This window comes from Homo sapiens, chromosome 1, assembly GCF_000001405.40.
Source record: "Homo sapiens chromosome 1, GRCh38.p14 Primary Assembly".
Lineage (NCBI taxonomy): Eukaryota > Metazoa > Chordata > Mammalia > Primates > Hominidae > Homo > Homo sapiens.
This window is the reverse complement of record NC_000001.11, coordinates 247,152,123-247,175,323: the sequence shown is the minus strand read 5'-3', so window position 1 is coordinate 247,175,323 and position 23,201 is coordinate 247,152,123. Positions and strand designations below refer to the sequence as shown.

The following is a 23,201-nucleotide window of genomic DNA, read 5'->3' as shown; positions in this document are numbered from 1 at the left end:
TCCTACCCTCCACCTTCAAATTCACAGAATTGTTGTTCTGTCTTGACTCAAACTTTTTTCCTGCCACAGCAGAGCACTGAAAGTCTCTTAAGTTACAGCTTCACAACAGAAGTCTAAAGTCTGCGCAGAACTAGCACATCTGCAGCCGTAGGAGCAGCAGAATGACCAGGCAGCAGAGCTTTATTCCATGTTTTCATCTCCATTCCTACAACAGCAGCGGCAGCAGCAACAACTGCTACTACTTCTAATTGTGGTAAAAATACTTAGAATAATAATGCATAATGACAATTGTAGTTGACATTTTTGGTTTATATATGATTATTTGTAATGTTCTACAATTTACCTTTAGTAATATACACATAACTTTTGCATAAACATCAGGACCCTAAAACACCACACCTGATGATTGAATCTCACCTATGGACCTAAGGTCTTCACATGCTGGTGCAGGCCCTCTCACCACTCCATCTCCAAACAGAGGATATGGTCCACCTTCTGAGTCAATATAGTAGCCCTGACACTCACATGATCTATTTGAGGTCTTGGAAAACAAGCTTGCCTTGTTAAAAATCAAAGGATGGGCCGGGCACGGTGGCTCACGCCTGTAATCCCAGCACTTTGGGAGGCCGAGGCGGGCTGATCACGAGGTCAGGAGATGGAGACCATCCTGACTAACACGATGAAACCCCATCTCTACTAAAAATACAAAAAAATTAGCCGGGCATGGTGGCCGGCGCCTGTAGTCCCAGCTACTCGGGAGGCTGAGGCAGGAGAATGGCGTGAACCCGGGAGGCGGAGCTTGCAGTGAGCCGAGATCACACCACTGCACTCCAGCCTGGATGACACAGCGAGACTCCATCTTAAAAAAAAAAAAAAAAAAAAAAATCAAAGAATGGCTTCAAATTGTAGTCAGCTGTTTCGTTAAATTGCAGCAGGAAGAAATTTTTCTCAGCAGGTCTATTTTCATGTCACTTGCTTTCAGAGTAAGAGGTTATTTCAGACACAGTGGTTTGATTTAGTCTTTGTTGAAAATCATAAATAGCCTACAAACAACAAAAAGGGATGAATAGGATTTGCGTTCATGTGGAGTGCGTCATCTGTGCTTTTAAATTTATCCTATGAAAAGAAATAAAAAATATGTAATATCGAACATTGGTTTCCTAAATTAGCAAATCGACCATTTCCTCAAGTTATTCCACGTTCTTCCAAGATGTGTCAGAAGCATTCTCTGGAGGCAGTTGTTCCAAATGGTGAAGAGTACTAGATGGATCCCAATCTCACAGGATTCTTGCTTCTATTGCAGAAGAGTTACTTTCCAGGACTTCAAAGGTTTAGAGAAGCTGCTTGATTCGTGTGGCTTGCAGAGGTGCATGGGCTTTGGAGTCACGAAAAGTTAATCCTGGTCCCAGCCCAGCCTCTTAGTAGCTGTGAGGCTTTGCACAACTTCCTTGTCTTGGAAAGTTATATAAACCTCATCTGCAAGAAAAGGCATGATACTGATTGCAAAAATGGCAGCAACTCTTCATCCCTTCCTGTATTTATGCCCTTTGTGATGTGCTTTTATAGCTGCTTTCATTGAGAGGCAGAATCTGTTTCCCAAACCTTGAATCTCACTGGCCTTATTTGCTCTGGCAGTAGAAAGCTGTGAATATGACCATGTGCCAGTTTGGGGCCGAGGCACAAAAGCTCTTGAATGCTTCTGCTTTTTATTTCACAACCCTGTCATCTCCATAATAACAAGTCCATGTTAGCCTGCTAGAGGATGAGATACTATAGGGAGGAAAACCAAAGTGCCACAGTTGACAGGCAGCTCACCCTCAGAAGCAGCATTGCCTAGTCAACCAGCAGCTGACCACACGTGCCTGAAAGGGCCCAGCAGAGACCAGAAGAATGGCTCACTTGAGCCCAGCCTAGAAGGTGGACCAGCTCAATCTAATACGTTTTGGGGAATTTTACTGTGAAGCAATAGGTAATACGTACACCTAGTGCAGACAGGATGCCAGGATTCAATGACATGTTGATTGCAATTTACCAGGCAAACACAAGGCACCCTGTATGTACTGATTTCCTTTTCCCTTTATGTAAAGTTGGATTTCTGGTTAGACGGTGTTGAGCCATACAGAAGTGCACGTAGACATGCATGTGATTTGTGCTTAAACTCACACACTTAAATTCCACACCACAGGAGGAAACAGAAAACCACAGCCTGACCATTAGGGCCAAAGCCAAATTGCAAAATGAGAAGTTTGTCTTTAATGTATTCCCTCTACATCTAAAGTCCTGAGGTTAAGGCTGTGGACAAATCTGAAGACATGGGTTTTCTTCTCCTGGGGCCCCTCATCTTTTTTTCACTGTCTTATCTATAGAAGAGGCTGGGCCCCTGGCAAGAGCAGGTGGGAAATAGTAGACTCCCTCTAGATACTTCTTTATTGCAGCCCACTTCTCTCTCTGGGCACTGTCTCTGCCACCCTTGGGCCTGAGGAGAGATGTTAGCAGAAGGAGGGCATTCCCTCACCTCTAGCAGAAAAGAGGGGTTCGGGCCCTTCACTCCCTGAGGTCAGGGGAACCAGAGCCCTCAAAACTGCACTTCAGTGTGACAGTCATTGCCCACAGGGGTCTACTTAGCACCTAGAATGTGGCTGGTCTGAATCGGTACATGCTGGAAGTTTAAAACGCAGAGTGACTTTGAAAGATTTAGTACCAAAAAACAGAACAACAAAAAATACTTCATTAATATTATATTTATCATATATTTAAATTATAATATTTTGTATATATTGAGTTAAATAAAGTATTGCAATCAATTTTACCTGTTTATTCCTCGTTTCTGTTGCTACTAGAAATTTTAAAATGACACCTGTGGCTCACATGTGATTTCTGTGGAAATCGCAGCCTTGGAGGATTGCTTCCCTTTTCAAAACTCGGGCTCCTCAGACTGCTTCCTCAGAAGACCAGAGGCCATGAAGGTTAATAAGTCTGAAATTTTAAAAGAATTATTATTATATTGTTTCCTATTTTAAATATCATATATATTATTCACAAATGAATGTAACATTGTATACAAGGTTAAGTGTATATAAATGAATGTCCCCTAGGCAAGGCTGGGTCCCAACCCAGAGAGGAAACCCTCTTGGAGAAGAGCTGTAGCCAGAACGCTGCCTCATTCAGACACGCGCGGGAGCTGTCACCTGTCACTAAGAGTCTGAGGGGGCGGGGCCTGAGGCCCTACCCAATCAGGGGCACCGGGGCGGGGACTGCCTAATCCGGCGCTCCGCTAGAAAACCCGAGGCGGCTTCCGGGTGTGCCCGGCCTTTGTCTCTCGTGCCCGCACGTGCGTGTCTCGGTCAGTAGCCCTGCGCTTCTCCTTCACTCTCGGCGGTTCAGGAGGCTCTGCCGCAGCCGGGGCCCTCCTGTGACCTGCATGTACTGGGGGATTCGCAGGGAGGATGTCGGGACACCCCGGAAGCTGGGAAATGGTGAGTTGCGCCGCCGGGGGTCTGGAGAAGGGAAGGGGCTGTGGCGGCCCCGGGCCCCGGGCTCCCAGCGGTCGGCTCCCGAGGGCGGACCCGGGTCCCTGCTGGCGCGGCGCGGCGCGGCCCTCGGTCCTTTCTGGCGCCCGGCAGAGCTGGGCGGGCAGCGGCACCCCGGGCTCCGGTCCCGTCTCTGCACCGCGACTTCCGTCCTGCCCGAAGCAGCTTCCCTCCCCGGCCCGCGCCCGCAGCCCCGCGGCTCCTCGGGATCCTGCAGTGAGACCCGAGGCGCCTCAGGGGAGAGGCCCAGCGCGGTGTGCGGGCTCGCGCCTGCGAGGAGCTGTGGCCACTGGCGTTTCCAGTCCCTCCTTAATCCTGTTAAAAATTAAACTGAGGTTTAATTAAAGCGTTACAGAGTTTGAGCAAACAGCGATTCATGAGTAGGGGAGCACCCAGCCACGGTTTTTGGTTTGTGGGCCACCGGACGGTCTTGATGGAAAGGCTTCTGTAAAGTGTGTAAGGAAACAAACCAAATTTATTTATTTTTTATTTTAATGATCGGGTGGGGCGGGGGGGGGGTCTCCCTGTGTTGCCCAGGCTGGTCTTGAACTTCTGGTCTCAACCTCCCGAAGTGCTGGGATTACCCCGCCCAGCCCAAAGCAACCCCAATTTAATAACTGATTGGTTATAATTATGTAGTTCTGTTATTCGGATTATTTAGGTGGATGGTTCCTGGTTATGTAATCAGAGGTAAATTGCTGATTTGGGGTTAAGTTTTCTTTCCCTTCAAGTTAATTACAAGAAAGGCATGAAGTACCTTTAGGTTTTCTTGGTGAGGAACTCAGGGCACCATCATCACTTAAGGGAGGAGACCACCCCTCATATTGTCTTATGCCCAATTTCTGCCTCCAAAGAAAGAAGAAGTAAAAACTAAAAGGCAGAAATGAAATCCACAGGCAGACAGCCCGGCGCCGCGTCCTGGGCCTGGTTACAGATTGACCCTTGACCTGACCGGTTGTGTTATCTATAGATTCCAGACATTGTATGGAAAAGCACTGTGAAAATCCCTGTCCTGTTCTGTTCCGTTCTGATTGCCGGTGCATGCAGCCCCCAGTTATGTACCCCCTGCTTGGTCAATCGATCACGACCCTCTCACGTGGACCCCCTTAGAGTTGTAAGCCCTTAAAAGGGACAGGAATTGCTCACTTGGGGAGCTGGGTTTTTGGAGACGTGAGTCTTGCCAAAGCTTCCGGCAGAATGAAGCCCTTCCTTCTTTAACTCGGTGTCTGAGGGGTTTTGTCTGCAGCTTGCCCTGCTACAACTTCAGTCTAATTTCTTCCTATTTAATTATTTCCACAAGGGTACTGGTTTCCCCTGCATTTCCCAAATGTAAGGCAAGCAGGGTCTCAAATCCATGACCGTATTCCCCAGCCTAACTTCTAGAACTTGCAGTAAAATTCTAAATTTCCAGTTTCTTCCTCATACTCTCAAACTCCAACTTCACCTCTCCAATTTACAACATTATTAATTATTTGTTCTTTATTGTGCATTTGAACCAGATGCAGTAATGTAATTGTTTATCATGTTTTCACTGAGCAGTGAGGAGCTGTTTCTGAACATTCCTTGTGAAAACAGAGAATAATCACCTGATCTAGTCCACTATAAAAAATTCTTTGTACCTCTCCTCCTTTTGTCTTCCCTAGGCACACTCACAAACGTCTTTGGATGGAGGTTTCCCTTTGGAACCTTCACGTGGTGTTGTGTCCTCAGCCACCCTCCTGTCTTTTCTGGGTCCTGGGTTCAAAACTGTTTGAGGATGACCTAATGTGCCCACACTGGCCCTGTCTCTTGGAGTGTCATAAATAGTGAATGTCAGCTGTTGGGTCCTCTTCTCCCAGAAGACAAGGTGAGGTTTAGGGGTGGAGCCTCTCAGAGGAGCAGCTGGATGGCATGAATCCCCTGGGACCGAGAGGAGTCTCCTGGGATACTCTTCTATACTCTTCCTCTAAAAAGCTAATCCACTAGGACTTAGATTTTTTTTTCTTCTCTTACCCCCGTTATCACTCCTTAGAGACAAAATGCTGGTCAGGCAGTCGGATACTGGTATTGAGGGAAGAAAGAATTTCTGCCCTCTGGATTGTCTCATGCTTGTGAAGGGAGAACAGCTATTCCAAAGTACAAGGAAACCCCGCCCCGCAGTGAGGCAGGAACCTGAAAAGCAAAATGCATTTGGGGCACAGTGGGGACACGGCACAGGTTTCTGGGGGAGGGTGGGCATTGAGTACTTCCCTGAGCAGGATGGGGTGGGAGGACACAGTGGGGACACTGGGAGAGACACTGGTGTCATCCAATCCAATGCTGGTATTTTGAGGGAGAGACAGAAATGATTCCTGCCCTCTGGATTCTTTCACACTTGTGAAGGGAGAAAAACAACCTTAAAGAACAAGAAAATTTCTTCCCAGGAAGATGACACAAAAACCTGCCAAGCAAACTGCACCTTAGGCACACAGTGGGCCACAGTGCATTGCGCTGGGAGGTTGGTCCTTGAGTACGTGGTCTCTCCAATGAGGAGACCGGGGACCAGGGAATCTCCTGCTTGAGAGATGGTCTTACTTGACATGTGAGTCAAACATATCTGTGTTCCAGTTAGCGCTGCTCCTCCCTGGGCTGTCCTCTTGCAAAGCTTTGTTCATTTATTGGTGCCTTAGGTAAACATAAAATGTATTTCATCAATAGAGCTTTAAAGATAAAATATTTACAAAGAGGCAAAGAAAGAAGTGGATATTTTAAATATATGTAGATATTTTAAATCCACTTTATATATATATTTAGTTTTTTAATTAAAAAAATTTTTAATGTTATATCAATACATTTGGGGTAGCAGGTGGTTTTTGGTTACAAGGATAAGCTCTCTAGTGGTGATTGCTGAGATTTTGGTCCTGTCACCTTATCAGTGTACGCTGTACCCAATATGCAGTCTCACCCCCTCCCACCCTTGCCCCCAAATCACCAAGGTCCATTATATCATTCTTATGCCTTTGTAACCTCATAGCTTAGCTCCCACTTATAAGTGAGAACATAGAATATTTGGTTTTCCATTCCTGAGTTACTTCACTTAGAATAATGCCTCCATTTCCATCCAAGTTGCTGCAAAGCCCATTATTTCATTCCTTTTTATGGCTGAGTAGTATTCCACCACATTTTCTTTATCCCCTCATTGGTTGATGGGCATTTTAGGTTTGTTTCATATTTTTGCAGTGGCAAATTGTGCTACTGTTAACATGCGTGTGCAAGTGTTTTTGTTTGTTTGTTTTTTAATTGAGACAGAGTCTCACTCTGTTACCCAGGCTGTAGTGCAGTGGCACGATCTTGGCTCACTACAACCTTCCGTCGCCTGGGTTCAAGGGATTCTCATGCCTTAGCCTCCCAAGTAGCTGGGACTACAGGCATGCACCATCACGCCCAGCTAAATTTTTTTTGTATTTTTAGTAGAGACAGGGTTTTGCCATGTTGGCCAGGCTGGTATCGAACTCCTGATGTCAGGTTATCCACCTGCCTCAGCCTCCCAAAGTGCTGGGATTGCAGGCATGAGCCACCACGCCCAGCCGTGTTTTTTTCATATAATGACTTCTTTTCCTTTGGGTACATACCCAGTAGTGGCATTGCTGGATTGAATGGTAGTTCTACTTTTAGTTCTTTAAGGAATCTTCATACTGTTTTCCATGGCGGTTGTACTAGTTGACACTCCCATCAGCAGTGTAGAAGTGTTCCCTGTTCACCACATCCACACCAGCATCCCAGCATCTATTGTTTTTTATTTTATGATTATGGCCATTCTTACAGGAGTAAGGTGGTATCTCATTATGGTTTTAATTTGCATTTCCCTGATAGTGATGTTGAGCATTTTTTCATATTTATTGGCTATTTGTATATCTTCTTTTGAGAACTATTCATGTCCTTTGCCTACTTTTTTGATGGAATTTTTTCTTGCTGATTTGAGTTTTTTGTGAATTCTGGATATTAGTCCTTTGTAGGATGCATAGTTGGTGAAGATTTTCTCCCACTCTGTGGGTTGTCTGTTTACTCTGCTGATTATTTCTTTTGTTGTGCAGAAGCTTTTTAATTTAATTAGGTGCCATTTGTTCATTTTTGTTTTTGTGCATTTGCTTTTGGGTTCTTGGTCATGAGTTCTTTGCCCAAGCCAATGTTTAGAAGAGTTTTTTTGATATATTTTATTTTCATTCCCCTGAGTGTATGTGGTAACTTTTTGAGGTCTCGTCTCTTCTTTTGGGTAGTTTCAAATGAAATTCTAGGGCTTTTAATCAGGAATGCTACCAGGGAAGAGAAATAGGAAAAATCTCTCTTCCTTTATGATTACAGAAAGTGAATACATTTCCACACACAAAAGTGTGGTACATAAATTGGTGAATTACAAAAATTAACCAAAACATCAGTTTGTTTCCTGCAGGATGAAGAATTTGTTAGAGTGGGTAAGTCTGTGCTGTTTTCTGTTGCCTGCATTTGGCACATTAATGCTAAATCTGTACAGCAACCTTGCCCGATCACTGTGGCCAGGATTTCCAATACTGTGTTGAATGGGAGTGATAAAAGCAGAGGTTCTCTACCGCTCTTTCCTGATCTTGGGAGAAAAGGGTTTTTTTGCTTGTTTGTTTTGGTATTTCAGCATTGATGGTGATGTTAGTGCTGGTTTTTCATACTGTAGTTTCCTTGTAGTCCTAGTTTATTGTGTATTTTTATCATGAGTGGGTCTTAATAATTTGCCAAATACTTTTCCTGCATCCGTTGCAATAGCTACGATATTTCAGTCATTTTGCAAATGTCATACATTACACTGATTGATTTTTCATATATTGAACCATTTTATTTTAGGGATAAATCTCACTTGGTTTTGGTGTATAATCCTTTTACTGTGCTGCTAAATATGGCTTGTGAGTACTTAAGTGAGGATTTCTGCGTTAGTATGATGCTAAATATGGTTTGTTGGTATTTAAGTGAGGATTTCTGCATTAATAGTTATAAAGAACATTTGTAGCTTGTTGTAGTGTCTGTCCAATTTAGGGGTTCTGATTACTACATCAATGTCATATAACTGTGAGTCTGTTTAGATTTTCTAATTCTTCATGATTCATTCTTGGTACACTGTGTGTTTCTAGACATTTGTTCACCTCATCAATGTTATCCAACTTGCTGGTGTGCCCTTAGAGACTTTTTACATAAGATTTAAGACACAGATTTCTTTTATATGTGTTTTACTCTTATTGTATATGTATTCTGCTTATTTTGTAAATGTTTATTTTAGGTTCAGGGGTACATGTACACAATAGCAAATACATGGAATCAACCTAAATGCCCATCAACAGTAGACTGGACAAAGAAAATGTGGTATATACACATTTGTGAATAATGCTACAGTGAACCTATGCATGCATATTTCTTTATGGTAGAATGATTTCTATTTCTTCGGATATATACTCAATAAATGGGATTGCTAGGTTGAATGGGAGTTCTGTTTTAATTTCTTTGAGAAATCACCACACTGCTTTCCAAAATGAGTGAATTGAATTCCCACCAGCAGTGTATAAGCATTCCCTTTTCTCCACAACCTTACCAGCATCTGGTTTTGTTTTGTTTTGTTTTCACTTTATTATTTTTTTGAGGCAGTGTCTTGCTCTGTCACCCAGGCTGGAGTGCAGTGGCACGATTTTGGCTTACTGCAGCCTCTGCCTCCTGGGCTCAAGCAGTCATCCCACCTCAGCCTCACGAGTAGCTGGGACTATGGGCATGTGCTAACAGGCCCGGCTAATTTTTTTATTCTTTCTTAGAGACAATGTCTCACTATATTGTCCAAGCTGGTCTCGAACTCCTGGACTGAAATAATCCTCCTGCCTCAACCTCCTGAACTGCTGGGATTACAGGCATGAACCACCCTGCCCAGGCTATTTTTTGAGTTTTTAGTAACAGCATTATGACTGGTATAAGATGGTATCTCATCGTGGTTTTAATTTGCATTTCTTTAGTGATGAGTGATAATGTTCATTTTTCTCATGTTTGTATATCTTTTGAAAAGTGTTCATGTCCTTTGCCCACTTTTTAATGTTTCATTCTTGTTTCCTCTTTGCTTGTTAATTTATTTAAGTTTCTTACAGATTCTGGATATTAGACCCTTGTTAGATGCATAGTTTGCAGATATTTTCTCTCACTTTGTAGGTTCTCTGTTTAATCCCGTTAGTTTGTTTTGCTGTGAAGAAGTTCTTTAGTTTAATTATGTCCCATTTGTCAACTTTTTCTTTTGTGGCAGTCGCTTTGGGCATCTTCATCATGAAATACTTGCCAGGTCCTATGTCCAGAATGGTATTTCCTAGGTTATCTTCCAGGGTTTTTTTATCTTTAAATTTTTACATTTAAGTCTTTAATGCATCTAAAGTTTATATTTGTATATGGTGTAAGGAAGGGGTCCAGTTTCAATCTTCTGCATGTGGCTAGCCAGTAATCCTAGCACCATTTATCGAATAGGAAGTCCTTTCCTCATTATTTGTTTTTGTTGATTTTGTCAAAAATCAGATGGTTGGCCAGGCGCAGTGGCTCACGCCTGTAATCCCAGCACTTTGGGAGGCTGAGGCAGGTGGATCATGAGGTCAGGAGATCGAGACCATCCTCGCTAACACGGTGAAACCCTGTCTCTACTAAAAATACAAAAAATTAGCAGGGCGGGGTGGCAGGCGCCTGTAGTCACAGCTACTCGGGAGGCTGAGGCAGGAGAATGGCATGAACCGGGGCAGCGGAGCTTGCAGTGAGCCGAGATTGTGCCACTGCACTCCAGCCTGGGTGACAGAGCAAGACTCCGTCTCAAGAAAAAAAAAAAAATCAGATGGTCGTAGGTGTGTGGCATTATTTCTGGGCTTTCCATTCTGCTCCATCAGTCTGTCTGTTTTTATACCATTACCATGCTGTTTTGGTTACAGTAGCTTTGTAGTATAGTTTGAAGTTGGTTAATATGATGCCTCCAAACTTTGTTCTTCTTGCTTGGCTATGTGGGATCTTTATTGGTTCCACATGAATTTTAAAATAGTTTTATCTAATTTGGTGAACAATGTAATTGGTAGTTTGATAGGAATAGCATTGAATCTAAATTGCTTTGGGTAGTTGGACCATTTTAGCAATATTAATTCTTCCTATCAATGAGCATGGAATGTTTTTCCATTCATTTGTATCATCTCTGTTTGTTTTGTTTTGTTTTTTTTTTCCCAGCAGCATCTTGTAACTCATTGTAGAGATCTTTCATCTCCTGGTTAGCTATATTCCTAGATATTTTATTCTTTTTGTGGCTATTGTGAATGGGATTGCCTTCCTGATTTGGCTCTCTGCATGGATATTATTCGTGTATAGAAATGCTCCTAATTTTTGTACATTTATTTTCTGTCCTGAAACTGTGCTAAAGTTGTTTATCAGGAGCTTTTCAACAGAGACTGTGGGGTTTTGGGGGGTATAGGATCATATCATTTGCAAACAGAGAAGTTTGATTTCCTGTCTTCCTATTTGGATGCATTTTATTTCAGTAGTATGTTAATAGGAGTGGTAAAAGAGGGCATCCTTGCCTTGTTCCAGTTCTCAAGAGGAATGTTTCCAGCTGTTGCCTATTCACTATGATGTTGGCTGTGGGTTTTTCATAGATAGCTCTTATTATTTTGAAGTATGTTTCTCCGATGCCTAGTTTGTTGAGGGTTTTTAACATGAAGGGATGTTGAAATTTATTTAAAGCTTTTTTTTGCATCTATTGAGATGATCATGTTGTTTTTTTGTTTTTAGTTTTGTTTATGTTGTGAATCACATTTATTGACTTGTATATATTGAAATGTTACATCCAAGGGATAATGCCTACTTAATCATGGTGGTGGAATAGGTTTTTGGTGTGTGCTGGATTTGGTTTGCTAGTATTTTACATCTGTGGATTTTTCATCTATGTTCATCAAGGATATTGGCCTGAAGTTTTCTTTTTCATTGTTGTATGCCTGCCATGTGTTGTATGCCTGCCAGGATGACGCTGGCTGTCATAGAATGAGTTAAGGAGTTTCTCCTCTTTAGTTTCTTAGAATAGTTTCAGAAGGAATGGTACCAGCTCTTCTTAATACATCTGGTAGAATTTAGCTGTGAAACCATCTGGTCCTGGCTTTTCTGTTTGATAGGTTTATTATTACTGATTAAATTTCAGAGCTCATTTTTCTGTTCAGGGATTCCATTTCTTCCTGGTTCAATCTTGGGAGGTTTTTTGTTTCCAGGAATGTATTCGTTTTTCTAGGTTTTCTAGCCTGTATGCATAGAGATGTTTGTAATAATAGCCTCTGAGGGATTTTTTTTTTTTTTAGTTTCTGTGAGTCTGGTGGTAATACCCTTTTTGTCACTTCTGATTGTGTTTATATGGATCTTCTCTCCTTTTCTTTATTAGTCTAGCTAGCAATCTATCTTATTTCAAAAAATTGACTCCTGAAGTTGTTGATCTTTTGCTTTTTTTTCTCTCTCTCTTCAATTTATCTCTGATTTTGGTTTTTTTGTCTTCTGCTAGCTTTGGGGTTGGTCTGCTCTTGTTTCTTTAGTTCCTCTAAGTGTAATGTTAGGTTGCTAATTTGAGATCTTTTCAAAGTTTTTGATGTGGGCATTTAGTGCTATAAAATTTCCTCTTAACACTGCCTTAGCTGTGTTCCAGAGATTCTTGTATGTTTGTTCTTATTAGTTTCAAATAATTTCTTGGTTTCTACCTTAATTTCATTTTTTTCTTTTGATTTGTTGAGGATTGTTTTATGGCTGAATGTGTGGTTGATTTTAGAGTATGTGCCATGTGCAGCTGAGAAGAATGTATATTCTGTTGTTTTTTGGTGAAGAGTTCTGTAGGTGTCCATTAGGTCCATTTGGTGAAGTGTTGAGTTCAGATCTCAAATATCTTTGTTAGTTTTCTGCCTTTATGATCTAATACCATCAGTGGGGCATTGAAGCCTCCCACTGTTAACTCTGTGGTTAAGTCTCTTTGTAGGTGTGTAAGAATTTGCCGTATGAATCTGAGTGCTCTTGTGTTGGGTGCATACGTATTTAGGATAGTTAGGTCTGCTTGTTGGATTGAACCTTTTACCAATATGTAATACCCGTGTCTTTTTTTGTTTTTGGTTTAAAGTCTGTTTTATCTGAAATTTGACTAGTAATCCCTGCTTTTTTTTTTTTTTTTGCCAAGGGTTAATATATTTTATATATAAGTAAAGATATACAGTCATACATTGCTTAATGTGTTGTTAGGCAGTTTTATAGTGAGAACATAATAGCGTGTACTTACGCAAACCTAGATGGCATAATATACCACACACCTAGGCTATATGGTATGGCCTATTGCTCCTAGATTTACTTTTTTCTGTTTTCCATTTGTGTTGTAGATTTTTCTCTATCTCTTTACTTTGAATGTGTGGGCGTCATTGCATGTGAGATGGGTCTCTTGAAGACAGCATACGATTGGTTTTGTTTCTCTATCCAGCTTGTCATTTTGCCTTTTAATTGGGGCATTTAGCCCATTTACATTCAAGGTTACTATTCATATGTGTAGATTTGATCTTGTTATTGTGTCGTTAGCTAGTTATTATGCAGACTTGTTTGTATGCTTGCTTTATAGTGTCACTGGTCTATGTACTTACGTGTGTTTTTGTGGTGGCTGTTAATGATCTTTCCATATTTAGCACTACCTTTAGGAACTCTTATAAGGCAGATCTAGTGGGAACAAATTCTCTTAGTAGTTGCTTGTCTGAAAATGATTATGAAGCTTCTTTTGGCTGGATGGGAAATTCATGGTTGGAATTTCTTTTCCTTAAGAATGCTGAATATAAACTCTGATAATGCACAATAAATTTTCTGGACATTAGAGAAAAATTACTGGACTGTAGATTGTGGTAAAGTTCAAATTACTGGAAATAGCAATGGAGTATATCCACTGCCTTGGCCTTCATTTCTGCGTATTTATTTGGTGTGGTAATCACCACTTGAGATTCTCTAATTTTTGTTCTTCTAAAGAATGTGGACTATTATTTACTATTATTATTATAGTAATATGCCATATTATTTGGCTGTTTTATTACCAAGAAAATGGATCTCTTTCCATAAATGGTCTTTTTTCTTGTTATGTATCTTTTGCTTTTTTTTCCCATTTTTTAATCATGTTTTCATTCATTTTTACTGTGCACACTAATTTCTTTTATATTGCATGTATTGCAGATTTTTATTTTACTGTTTTTTGTCTTTTAATTCTCCTAATTTTAATATATTTGAATTTGTCAGTCTCTATTGTTTGCTCCTTTTCTCCTATTCATATGTCAAAAAAAACCTTGTCTGTGACTTCTGCAAGTGGTCTATTTATACTTTTTACTTTTGAATATATGACAAATTGATTATTGTCCAACTAATAGAGGTCAATGCAATTCATTTTTTTCCCAATTAAATACCGGTTAGCTTTGTTCCATGTTTAAAGTGCTTGATACTTCCTTCACTATCCTACAATGCCTCCTCTGTTATTAGTCAGCTTTCCATATCAATTCCAGCTAATTAAAGACTATATGCCTTTCTCTTGGCCTAGTTCTTTATCTCTCTGCTTATACTACACTGCCCTGAATATTATATTTGAAAATCATTGATGTGTATTAGGCAAACCATCACACTGTTATTCAGAAGACTTTGACGGTTGTTAGGCGTTTGTTATTTCTGTAGGTTTTGAAAAGTAGTTTCTGCTGAACTGCTAGAAAGTCTGTTTCAGGCATCTATGAAATTTTACATAAATATCATTTGTAAGAGGTGACATCTAGATGACATTGAGTTTTTTTCTTTGAACGCATGCCTTTTCACTTATTCTATTCTGCTTTGACATTTTTCAGTAGAAATTGTAAAATAATTATTTTTGGATTATTGAATATTGATTATTAGTGTTAATTACCTCTTGATTAAATTTGGGCTTGAGTGAAGCACTTATAAGCTTCTACACATTTTCTCTTTGTGTAACCACGTGGATTGGGCTCAATTTCCCAATTAAAAAGTTGTGACATCATATATGAAATATTATCTACCAGGGAAGCTCATCAGATACTCAGTGCTCAGAGTGTGTTTTTGTTTGTTTATTGAGGCTGATCCCCCTAGGCACCACTGCTACAATAAAACAAAATAATAGACTTTTGGAAGGAAAACAGGGGTTCAGCAAATACCAGATTGTTTAGATAAACTATTTAGCAACAGTGAGCTACTTTTATCACTTAGGTTGTTGGGATGCCTCTTAAAATGTAAGTTCCCTCATACCAGCAAAGGTTGAACTTTGTAGCAGGTATTTCTAAGGGTAAGTAGTCTTGTGACGGCTCATATTAACTCTCTTATGCACACCAGATAGTAAGACTTTGATATGATATGTACTGCAGGTATATGCTATAAAGAAAAATCATAACAGCAAATATTACTCCCTGGACCCACCAACAAGAAGGGTGTTCCTTCTCTGCTGCTGCCTTGCTGAACAGTTCAACTTTAGCATAAGAACTGCTGGCTGAGCGCGGTGGCTCACGCCTGTTATCCCAGCACTTTGGGAGGCCAAGACAGGCAGATCACGAGGTCAAGAGATCGAGGCCATCCTGGCCAACATGGTGAAATCCTGTCTCTACTAAAAATACAAAAATTAGCTGGGCGTGGTGACATGTGCCTGTAGTCCCAGCTACTTGAGAGGCAGAGGCAGGAGAATCACTTGAGCCTGCGAGGCGAAGATTGCAGTGAGCTGAGACGGTGCCACTGCACTCCAGCCTGGCAACAGAGTGAGACTCCGTCTCAAAAAAAAAAAAAAAAAAAAAAAAAGAACTGCTATGTGGGAGAAAGGAAGTGTAGACAGAGTCATAGTTCTAGTGACCAAATAGTAGAATAAATGTTCGCCACAGAATCAGATGAACATCTTATAAATTGACTACAGATTTCCAGTGCTTTCAGTCTCATCCATCCTCTACAAAAATGTGGAATATTTTAGAACTCGGTTGCCTTTGAGGATGTGGCTGTGAACTTCACCCAGGAGGAGTGGGCTTTGTTGGATCCTTCCCAGAAGAATCTCTATAGAGACGTGATGCAGGAAACCTTCAGGAATCTGGCTTCCATAGGTAAGAATCACAATATTTCTTCACTTAGTCAATCAGAAAGTAAGTGTTTCATGGTTTTCAATGTCATTCCATGATTTGGAATGTACAAAGGGAACACTTTGATGAGTGAATGAGGCATGGACCCAGTGTGCAATGACTCTTGTTTCTTAGTCTATTTTTTAATTGTGATAACAGAATACCTGATCCTGGGTAATTTACAAAAATAGTTTTATATTGGTTTATGATTCTAGTGGCTAGAAAGTCCAAGGTTGCATCTGGTAAGGACCTGATGCTACTTCAGCTCAGGGCATGAAGCAGAAGCAAGTGGGCATGTGCAAAGGGATCACAGCAAGAAAATAAGAGCAATTCTTGGGAGCTAAACTTGCTTTTATAACAACCTGCCCTCTGGCAACTAATTCAGTCTTGCAAGAGTAAGAGAAAACATGCATTCCCAAGCAAGGACATTAATCTATTAATAAGGAATCTGTACCCATAACACAAACAATGTTGCCATATTGATGACCAAATTACAGCATTCATTTTGGTGGGTACAAACCATATCCCCAACATAGCACCTAGAGTCTAGTAATTTTTCTATAATTTCAAATAATTTGTAATATATTTCTGGGTCTACATTTTAGGAAACAAAGGGGAAGACCAGAGCATTGAAGATCAGTACAAAAATTCTTCAAGAAATCTAAGGTAATTTGCCCTCACAAGAGGAAGCAGTCCCCCTTGGGGTCAATTGTAGTATATAATCATATGTTTAAAGCAAACAAGGCCAGGCATGGTGGCTCACACCTGTAATCCCAGCACTTTGGGATGCTGAGGTGGGCGGATCACCTGAGGTCAGGAGTTTGAGACCAGCCTGACCAACACGGCAAAAACCCGTCTCTACTAAAAATACAAAATTAGCCCAGTGTGATGGTGCATGCCTGTAATCCCTGCTGTTTGGGAGGCTGAGGCAGGAGAATTGCTTGAACCTGGGAGGCGGAGGTTGCAATGAGCTGAGGTTGTGCCATTGCACTCCAGCCAGGGAAACAAGAGCAAAACACCATCTCGGGGAAAAAAAAAAACCAAGCAAACAAAATAAATTAAGACAACATCAATTTATTCTCAAAGTTTTTACCAAAAATATATACTTCAATGTAACATGGATGTTAAATGTTTGCAAAATAGTTCACTTGAAAACAGTATTGTTTTAGTCTGCTTGCATTGCTATAAAGGAATACCTAGGCTGAGTAATTTATAAGGAAGAGTTTTATTTGGCTAATGGTTCTGCAGGCTTTATCAGAAGCATAAAGCCAGCATCTGCTTCTGATGAGGACCTCAGAGAGCTTCCAGTCATGGCAGAAGGGGAAGGGGAGCTGACATGTCACATGGGGAGAGAAGGAGCAAGAGAGAGAGAAAGGAAGTGCCAAAGTTTTTGGGGTTTTTTTGTTTTGTTTTGTTTTGTTTGAGATGGAGTCTCTCTCTGGTATCCAGACTGGAGTGCAGTGGTGCAGTCTTGGCTCACTGCAACCTCCGCCTCCCGGGTTCAAGTGATTCTCCGGACTCAGTCTCCCAAGTAGCTGGGATTACAGGAACATGCCACCACACCCAGCTAATTTTTGTATTTTTAGTAGAGACAGCATTTCACCATGTTGGCCAGGCTGGTCTTGAATTCCTGACCTCAAGTGATCTGCCCACCTTGGCCTCCCAAAGTGCTGGGATTACAGGCGTGAGCCACCATGCCCGACCATTTTTTTTTTTTTTTTAACAATCGGATCTTTCAGGAACTAATAGAGCGAGAAGTCACTCATTACCACAACAGTGCCACTTATGTGGAATCTGCTCCCATGACCCAAGCACCTCACACCAGGTCATACCTCCAACATGAGGATCAAATTTCAGCATGAAATTTGAAGGGAGAAAATACCCAAACTGTATTCAATACTAAGAAACTGCATATGAGAATATTACTGTATTGTTAATAGCTATAGGGGAGGGAGCCATGTTGTAGACTAATCAATCCATTTATGTTCAATTTGTTTATGTTAGAAAACCTGCACTTTCTCTGATATTGGTAGCAGTGTAAGTTCAGACTTAGTAATAAAAGAAAATAACTAATAAACCATTAATGATGGGGTTGTCATTTTTTGCAGAAGTCATATGATAGACATACTGTGTAAAATTAAATAAGTCAGTGTAGAAAAACCTCCAGATGCCAAATTTTAATCTGAACAAAAAAATTCCTGCTAGAGTAAAACCACATGAATGCATTGTGTGTGAAAAATTCTTCATACGTCATTCATCCCTTCATAGGCACATCATATCTCATTCTGGAAACAACCCATATGGGTGTGAGGAATGCGGAAAGAAGCCATGTACATGTAAACAATGTCAGAAAACTTCCCTTTCTGTCACAAGGGTTCACAGAGACACAGTAATGCACACTGGAAATGGACATTATGGTTGTACAATATGTGAGAAAGTTTTTAATATTCCCAGTTCATTTCAGATACATCAGAGAAATCACACTGGAGAGAAACCCTATGAATGTATGGAATGTGGGAAAGCCTTAGGTTTTTCCCGTTCTCTTAATAGACATAAAAGGATTCACACTGGAGAAAAACGCTATGAATGTAAGCAATGTGGGAAAGCCTTCAGTCGTTCCAGTCACCTTCGTGACCATGAAAGAACTCATACTGGAGAGAAACCCTATGAATGTAAGCACTGTGGGAAAGCCTTCCGTTACTCCAATTGCCTTCATTACCATGAAAGAACTCACACTGGAGAGAAACCTTATGTGTGCATGGAATGTGGCAAAGCTTTCAGTTGTCTCAGTTCCTTGCAAGGACATATAAAGGCTCATGCTGGTGAAGAACCCTATCCATGTAAGCAATGTGGGAAAGCCTTCAGATACGCCAGTTCCCTTCAGAAACACGAGAAAACTCATATTGCACAGAAACCCTATGTATGTAACAATTGTGGTAAAGGCTTCAGATGTTCCAGTTCCCTTCGTGACCATGAAAGGACTCATACTGGAGAGAAACCCTATGAATGTCAGAAATGTGGCAAAGCCTTTAGTCGTGCTAGTACCCTTTGGAAGCATAAAAAAACTCATACTGGAGAAAAGCCCTATAAATGTAAAAAAATGTAAAGGCTTTAATCACTACAGTTTTTGTCAAAAACATGAACAGTCACATACTTGAGAGAAACTGTGAATGTAAGGTGTAGGAAAGTACTTAATTTTCCCAGATTTCCTCAAATACATGAAACGAATCAAACTGGAGATAAACCCTATGACTATAAGCAATAAGGTAAAGCATTCAATTTTTCCATTTCTTTTTGAAAACTTGAAAGGACTCACTGAAGAAAATCCATATGAATGTTTAAAATGTGGTAAGGCCTGCAGTTGTTCCAGTGGTATTTGATGGTATAACATAACTCATTCTAGAGAAAAACTTTATGAAGGTATCGAATGTGAGAATGCCTTCATTTATCCTATAACTCACTCAGAGACACATGGTAACACATACTCCAGATTGACCTTATAAATAAAAGAATGCCCACCAGATTGAAATCCTAGAAATACAGAAAATTCTGAATTTTAACAATTACTTTAAAGGTCATGTGAAAACTCCCACTGGAAATAAATCCTGTAAATGTAAATATTATGGAAAACCTTATGGAAAATAATTATAGTACAATTCTCAAGAAAATTCACTATGTGAATGAGATGTTTTAGGAGCTATAAATAAATTGAATATATTGGTTGCTCATTTTTGAAGAGAGTCTCTAGAATATAGATTTTCACTTCTTTTGAAAAAAAAAAAATTGAGGTGAGACTTTTTTTTTTTTTTTTGAGATGGAGTCTCACTTTGTCGCCCAGGCTGGTGTGCAGTGGCACAATCTCAGTTCACTGTAAGCTCTGCCTCCCAGGTTCACGCCATTCTCCTGCCTCAGCCTCCTGAGTAGCTGGGACTACAGGTGCCTGCCACCATGCCCAGCTAATTTTTTGTATTTTTAGTAGAGATGGGGTTTCACCGTGTTAGCCAGGATGGTCTCAATCTCCTGACCTCGTGATCCGCCCGCTTCAGCCTCCCAAAGTGCTGGGATTACAGGCGTGAGCCACCACGCCCAGCTGAGGCAAGACTTCTGTAAGTATTCTTCAAGCAGTAGTACAAGAGTTAAATATGTATTCTTCTTTTTTAAGCTGGTAAATAAATTTCCTTTTTCTACCCATTTTAAAGTGTGTTGGTTATATGGGTAAATTGAAATGTATTTCTTTTCCTTTTTTCTTGCATAGCCATTTTAAAAAATATTTTTTAAATATTTAAAGTATAAAATATTTTTAAAATTTTTTAAAAATTTTGTGGGTTACACAGTAGATGTGTGAAATGTATTTGTAGGTTTAACTTCTGTGTAGTTTAATTATTTTGTTATTAATTGGCCATTGATAAATGAGTCTATTTTCTTTGCTAATAGAGTTGCTGTCAATTTGTAAGTATGTAAAGTTTATTATAGAGTATATTCTCACGTGAATTATTATTTTCATCTGTTGTTCTTTACATTGTCATTATTTTTGGCTATTTGCATAGGTAACATTGGTTTAAGGAGAGAGACCTGTGATCGAACAGTGTCTTGTGTCTAATCTGAGAAAGAAAGCATCCAGTCTTATCATCATGTATGATGTTAGCTGAGGGTTTTTAAAATAAATTCCTTAAAGCAGGTTGAGAAAGTTTCCTGCTGTTCATTATTATTGAATATTTCATTGTCAAGTGTTGTTGAAGTTTTTCTCATGGTTTTTGTGCATCTATTGGAATGATCTTGTGGTTTTTCAAATTTATTCTGTTAACATGGTATATCACATTAATTGACTTTCTAAAATAAGAAATTGGGTCTAACTTTGTCACCCAGGCTGGTCTCAAACTCCTGGGCTCAAGTGATTCTCCTGCCTTGCCCTCTCAAAGTGTTGGGATTACAGATGTGAGCCACTGTGCCCAGCCAAATTGACTTTTAGATGCAAAAACAACATTGCTTTTTTGGGGGGTTAAATCTCTCTTGGTAATGAAGTGTAAGTCTTCTTATATATTGGTAAATTCAGTTTTGTAGCATCTTTTGAGACATTTTGCATCTATATTGAAAGAAATTTGAGTACCCTAGCATAGTTTATAGTGCTATATACTATATAGTGTTATTTCATATATATGTAGTTTATTAGTTCATTCTTGAACTGCTATGAAGAAATTCCTGAGACTGGGCAATTTACAAAGGAAAGAGATTTAATTGACTCCCAGTTCAGCATGGTAGGGAGGCCTCAGGAAACTTACAGTCCTGGCAGAAGGTGAAGGGGAAGCAAGGCATCTTCACAAATTCACAAGGTGGCAGGAAGGAGAAGTACAAGCAGGGAAAATGCCAGATTCTTATAAAACCATCAGATCTCATGAGACTCACTCATTATCATGAGAACAGCACGGGGGAAACCGTCCCCATGATTCAGTTACCTCCACCTGGTCTTGCCCTTGACACGTGGGAATTATTACAAGTCAAGGTGAGATTTGGGTGGGGACACGGAGCCAACTTATATCTGTGTGTGTGTGTGTGTCACACATATGCGTGTACAAGGAGACATCCACTCTGGGGAGAATTAGGTATCTCAGACAGTTGCCTGACAAGTGATTGTTGTGTAGGAAAGCATAGTGACCTTGTGTTTTCTGTGCTGCTTTTTCTCTTGCTGCTGTTATGTGCACTCTTCTGATGAGGTGCATATCCATAGATCCTCATGATTTAGGTGCAGATGAGCAAAGACAAGGGAAATAATCACTTTATATTATCCTCTCCCAGTACCCCTCCCAGTACTAAACTCCTAGCCAAAGGGGGCTTTCGTTAGCATGGCTGCTCACCAGCATTCTAAAGATATAATCCTGTGACCACAAGACTTGATGAACTTAGACAAAATGACCTTCTTATGGACGCTAACTTCAGCAAGATTTAGTAGCCCTCACTGGAGGCTTAGGTGGTTTTCTCCACTGTGGGTTGCTGGGGTTCTGAACTCTTTCCCTTAATCACACAGATGGTCTACACTGTCTGTTTCCAGGTAGAGATAGTACCTGAAACCTGTAACTTTACATGAGTAGAAATCCGAAATGTTATAAGGCAATTGTTACAGCAAGAAAGGAAAAGACTAGTTATGTGATGTGCTCACATCCAGAAATCTAATAGCAGATGACTCACCAATCATAATAGAGCATGTCAGTTAAAGGCACTCCGTGACTTCAGTCCAGACAGGATCAAGTCCCCACTCTACTCCTGTCCAGTGTCTGAATTTAGACAAATGACTTACCCTCTCGATGTTTAAGTTCTCATCCTGATAATGGCAGCACCTACCTCACAGATTTGTGAAGAATAGAAAGTTACTACATGGCTGCTCATCACAACAGTGATGAATACATTGCAGGGACACTTTAACTGGTGTACATTTACATGTTGGAAACCTTTTAATAATTGAAAAAAATCAAGTAACATTTCTAAGGGTGAAACTAATGGTCAGTGCAGAGTATTGGATTTTATTTGACCTTTTTTTTTTTTTTGAGATGGAGTCTCACTCTGTTGCCCAGGCTGGAGTGCAGTGGCGCAATCTCAGCTTACTGCAACCTCCACCTCCCGGGTTCAAGCGATTCTCCTGCCTCAGCCTCCCGAGTAGCTGGAACTACAGGTGCCCGTCAGCACACCCAGCTAATTTTTTGTATTTTTAGTAGAGTTGGAGTTTCACCGTGTTAGCCAGGATGGTCTTGATCTCCTGACCTCGTGATCCGCCCGCCTTGGCCTCCCAAAGCTAGATAAGTAATTTTAAAATCCCTTAATCTTCTCAGAAGTACATGGGTTGTATATGTTTGTTCAGTGCTCATATGTTTATTCACTCATCTCCATAGAACTGTAAACATAATTACAAAATAGTAACATTACAAGAAACTGACAGTATATACTCACATACATAAATACATTATCTGGACATAACGGTGTGATTGTTTTTCTGTGTGACACCCAGATTATGCTTATCTATCAAGCAGTAATCCTGAAAAATTGCACATTAAGAATGTAAAAGCAATAGTAATTACAATGACAATGATTTACCATAAAGTCTATTATATTTAACATATCACTGTACTAGGTAATTCGTGGTTAATTTATCCAACTATATACAATCAGGTAATATTTGTCTTTAATAGGAATAATTAGTCTATTTTGTTGAATATTATAATGGATATATTTGGGACTGGGTTTATTGCGTTGCTGCGTTCACAATACCTACTCTGTTTTCTTTTTATCTTTTGTACTAAATTTTAATAGAATTCTACTTTTCCCTCATATATATATAATTACATATATAGTTATTTATTATATTTATTTATATTTTGTTTTATTTTTGTTTTTAACCTAGAAATTGTAGCTTACTTTTAAACACTGTCGCAGTGTCAAGCAACTTAATACCTGTGCCCTGTGGGCAGCAATACTCTATTTAGCATCCTTCAACTTAAAACAAAAATTCTTACATGTATTTAAAATATTTAAAGATACATGCACATGTCCTAAGTGGATA

The 23,201-nt window shown here is 40.1% G+C and overlaps 1 protein-coding gene across 8 annotated transcripts in view; it reads left to right on the top strand.

Moving 5' to 3' along the window:
* Positions 2,945-23,201, top strand: part of ZNF124 (zinc finger protein 124) — a 50,405-nt gene continuing 30,148 nt past the window's right edge. For 2 of the 8 annotated variants that reach the window (NM_001243740.3, NM_001297567.2), the window contains exons 1-3: positions 3,304-3,476; positions 15,511-15,637; positions 16,258-16,318. In NM_001243740.3, coding sequence (NP_001230669.1) covers positions 3,447-3,476; positions 15,511-15,637; positions 16,258-16,318 — 218 coding nt within the window. In that variant the 5' untranslated portion in view covers positions 3,304-3,446. Of the gene's footprint in view, positions 2,967-3,303; positions 3,477-15,510; positions 15,638-16,257; positions 16,319-17,920; positions 20,336-23,201 lie in introns of those variants that run through there. The other 6 variants (XR_001737398.3, XR_007063653.1, XM_011544272.4 and 3 more) reach the window with 6 other exon arrangements.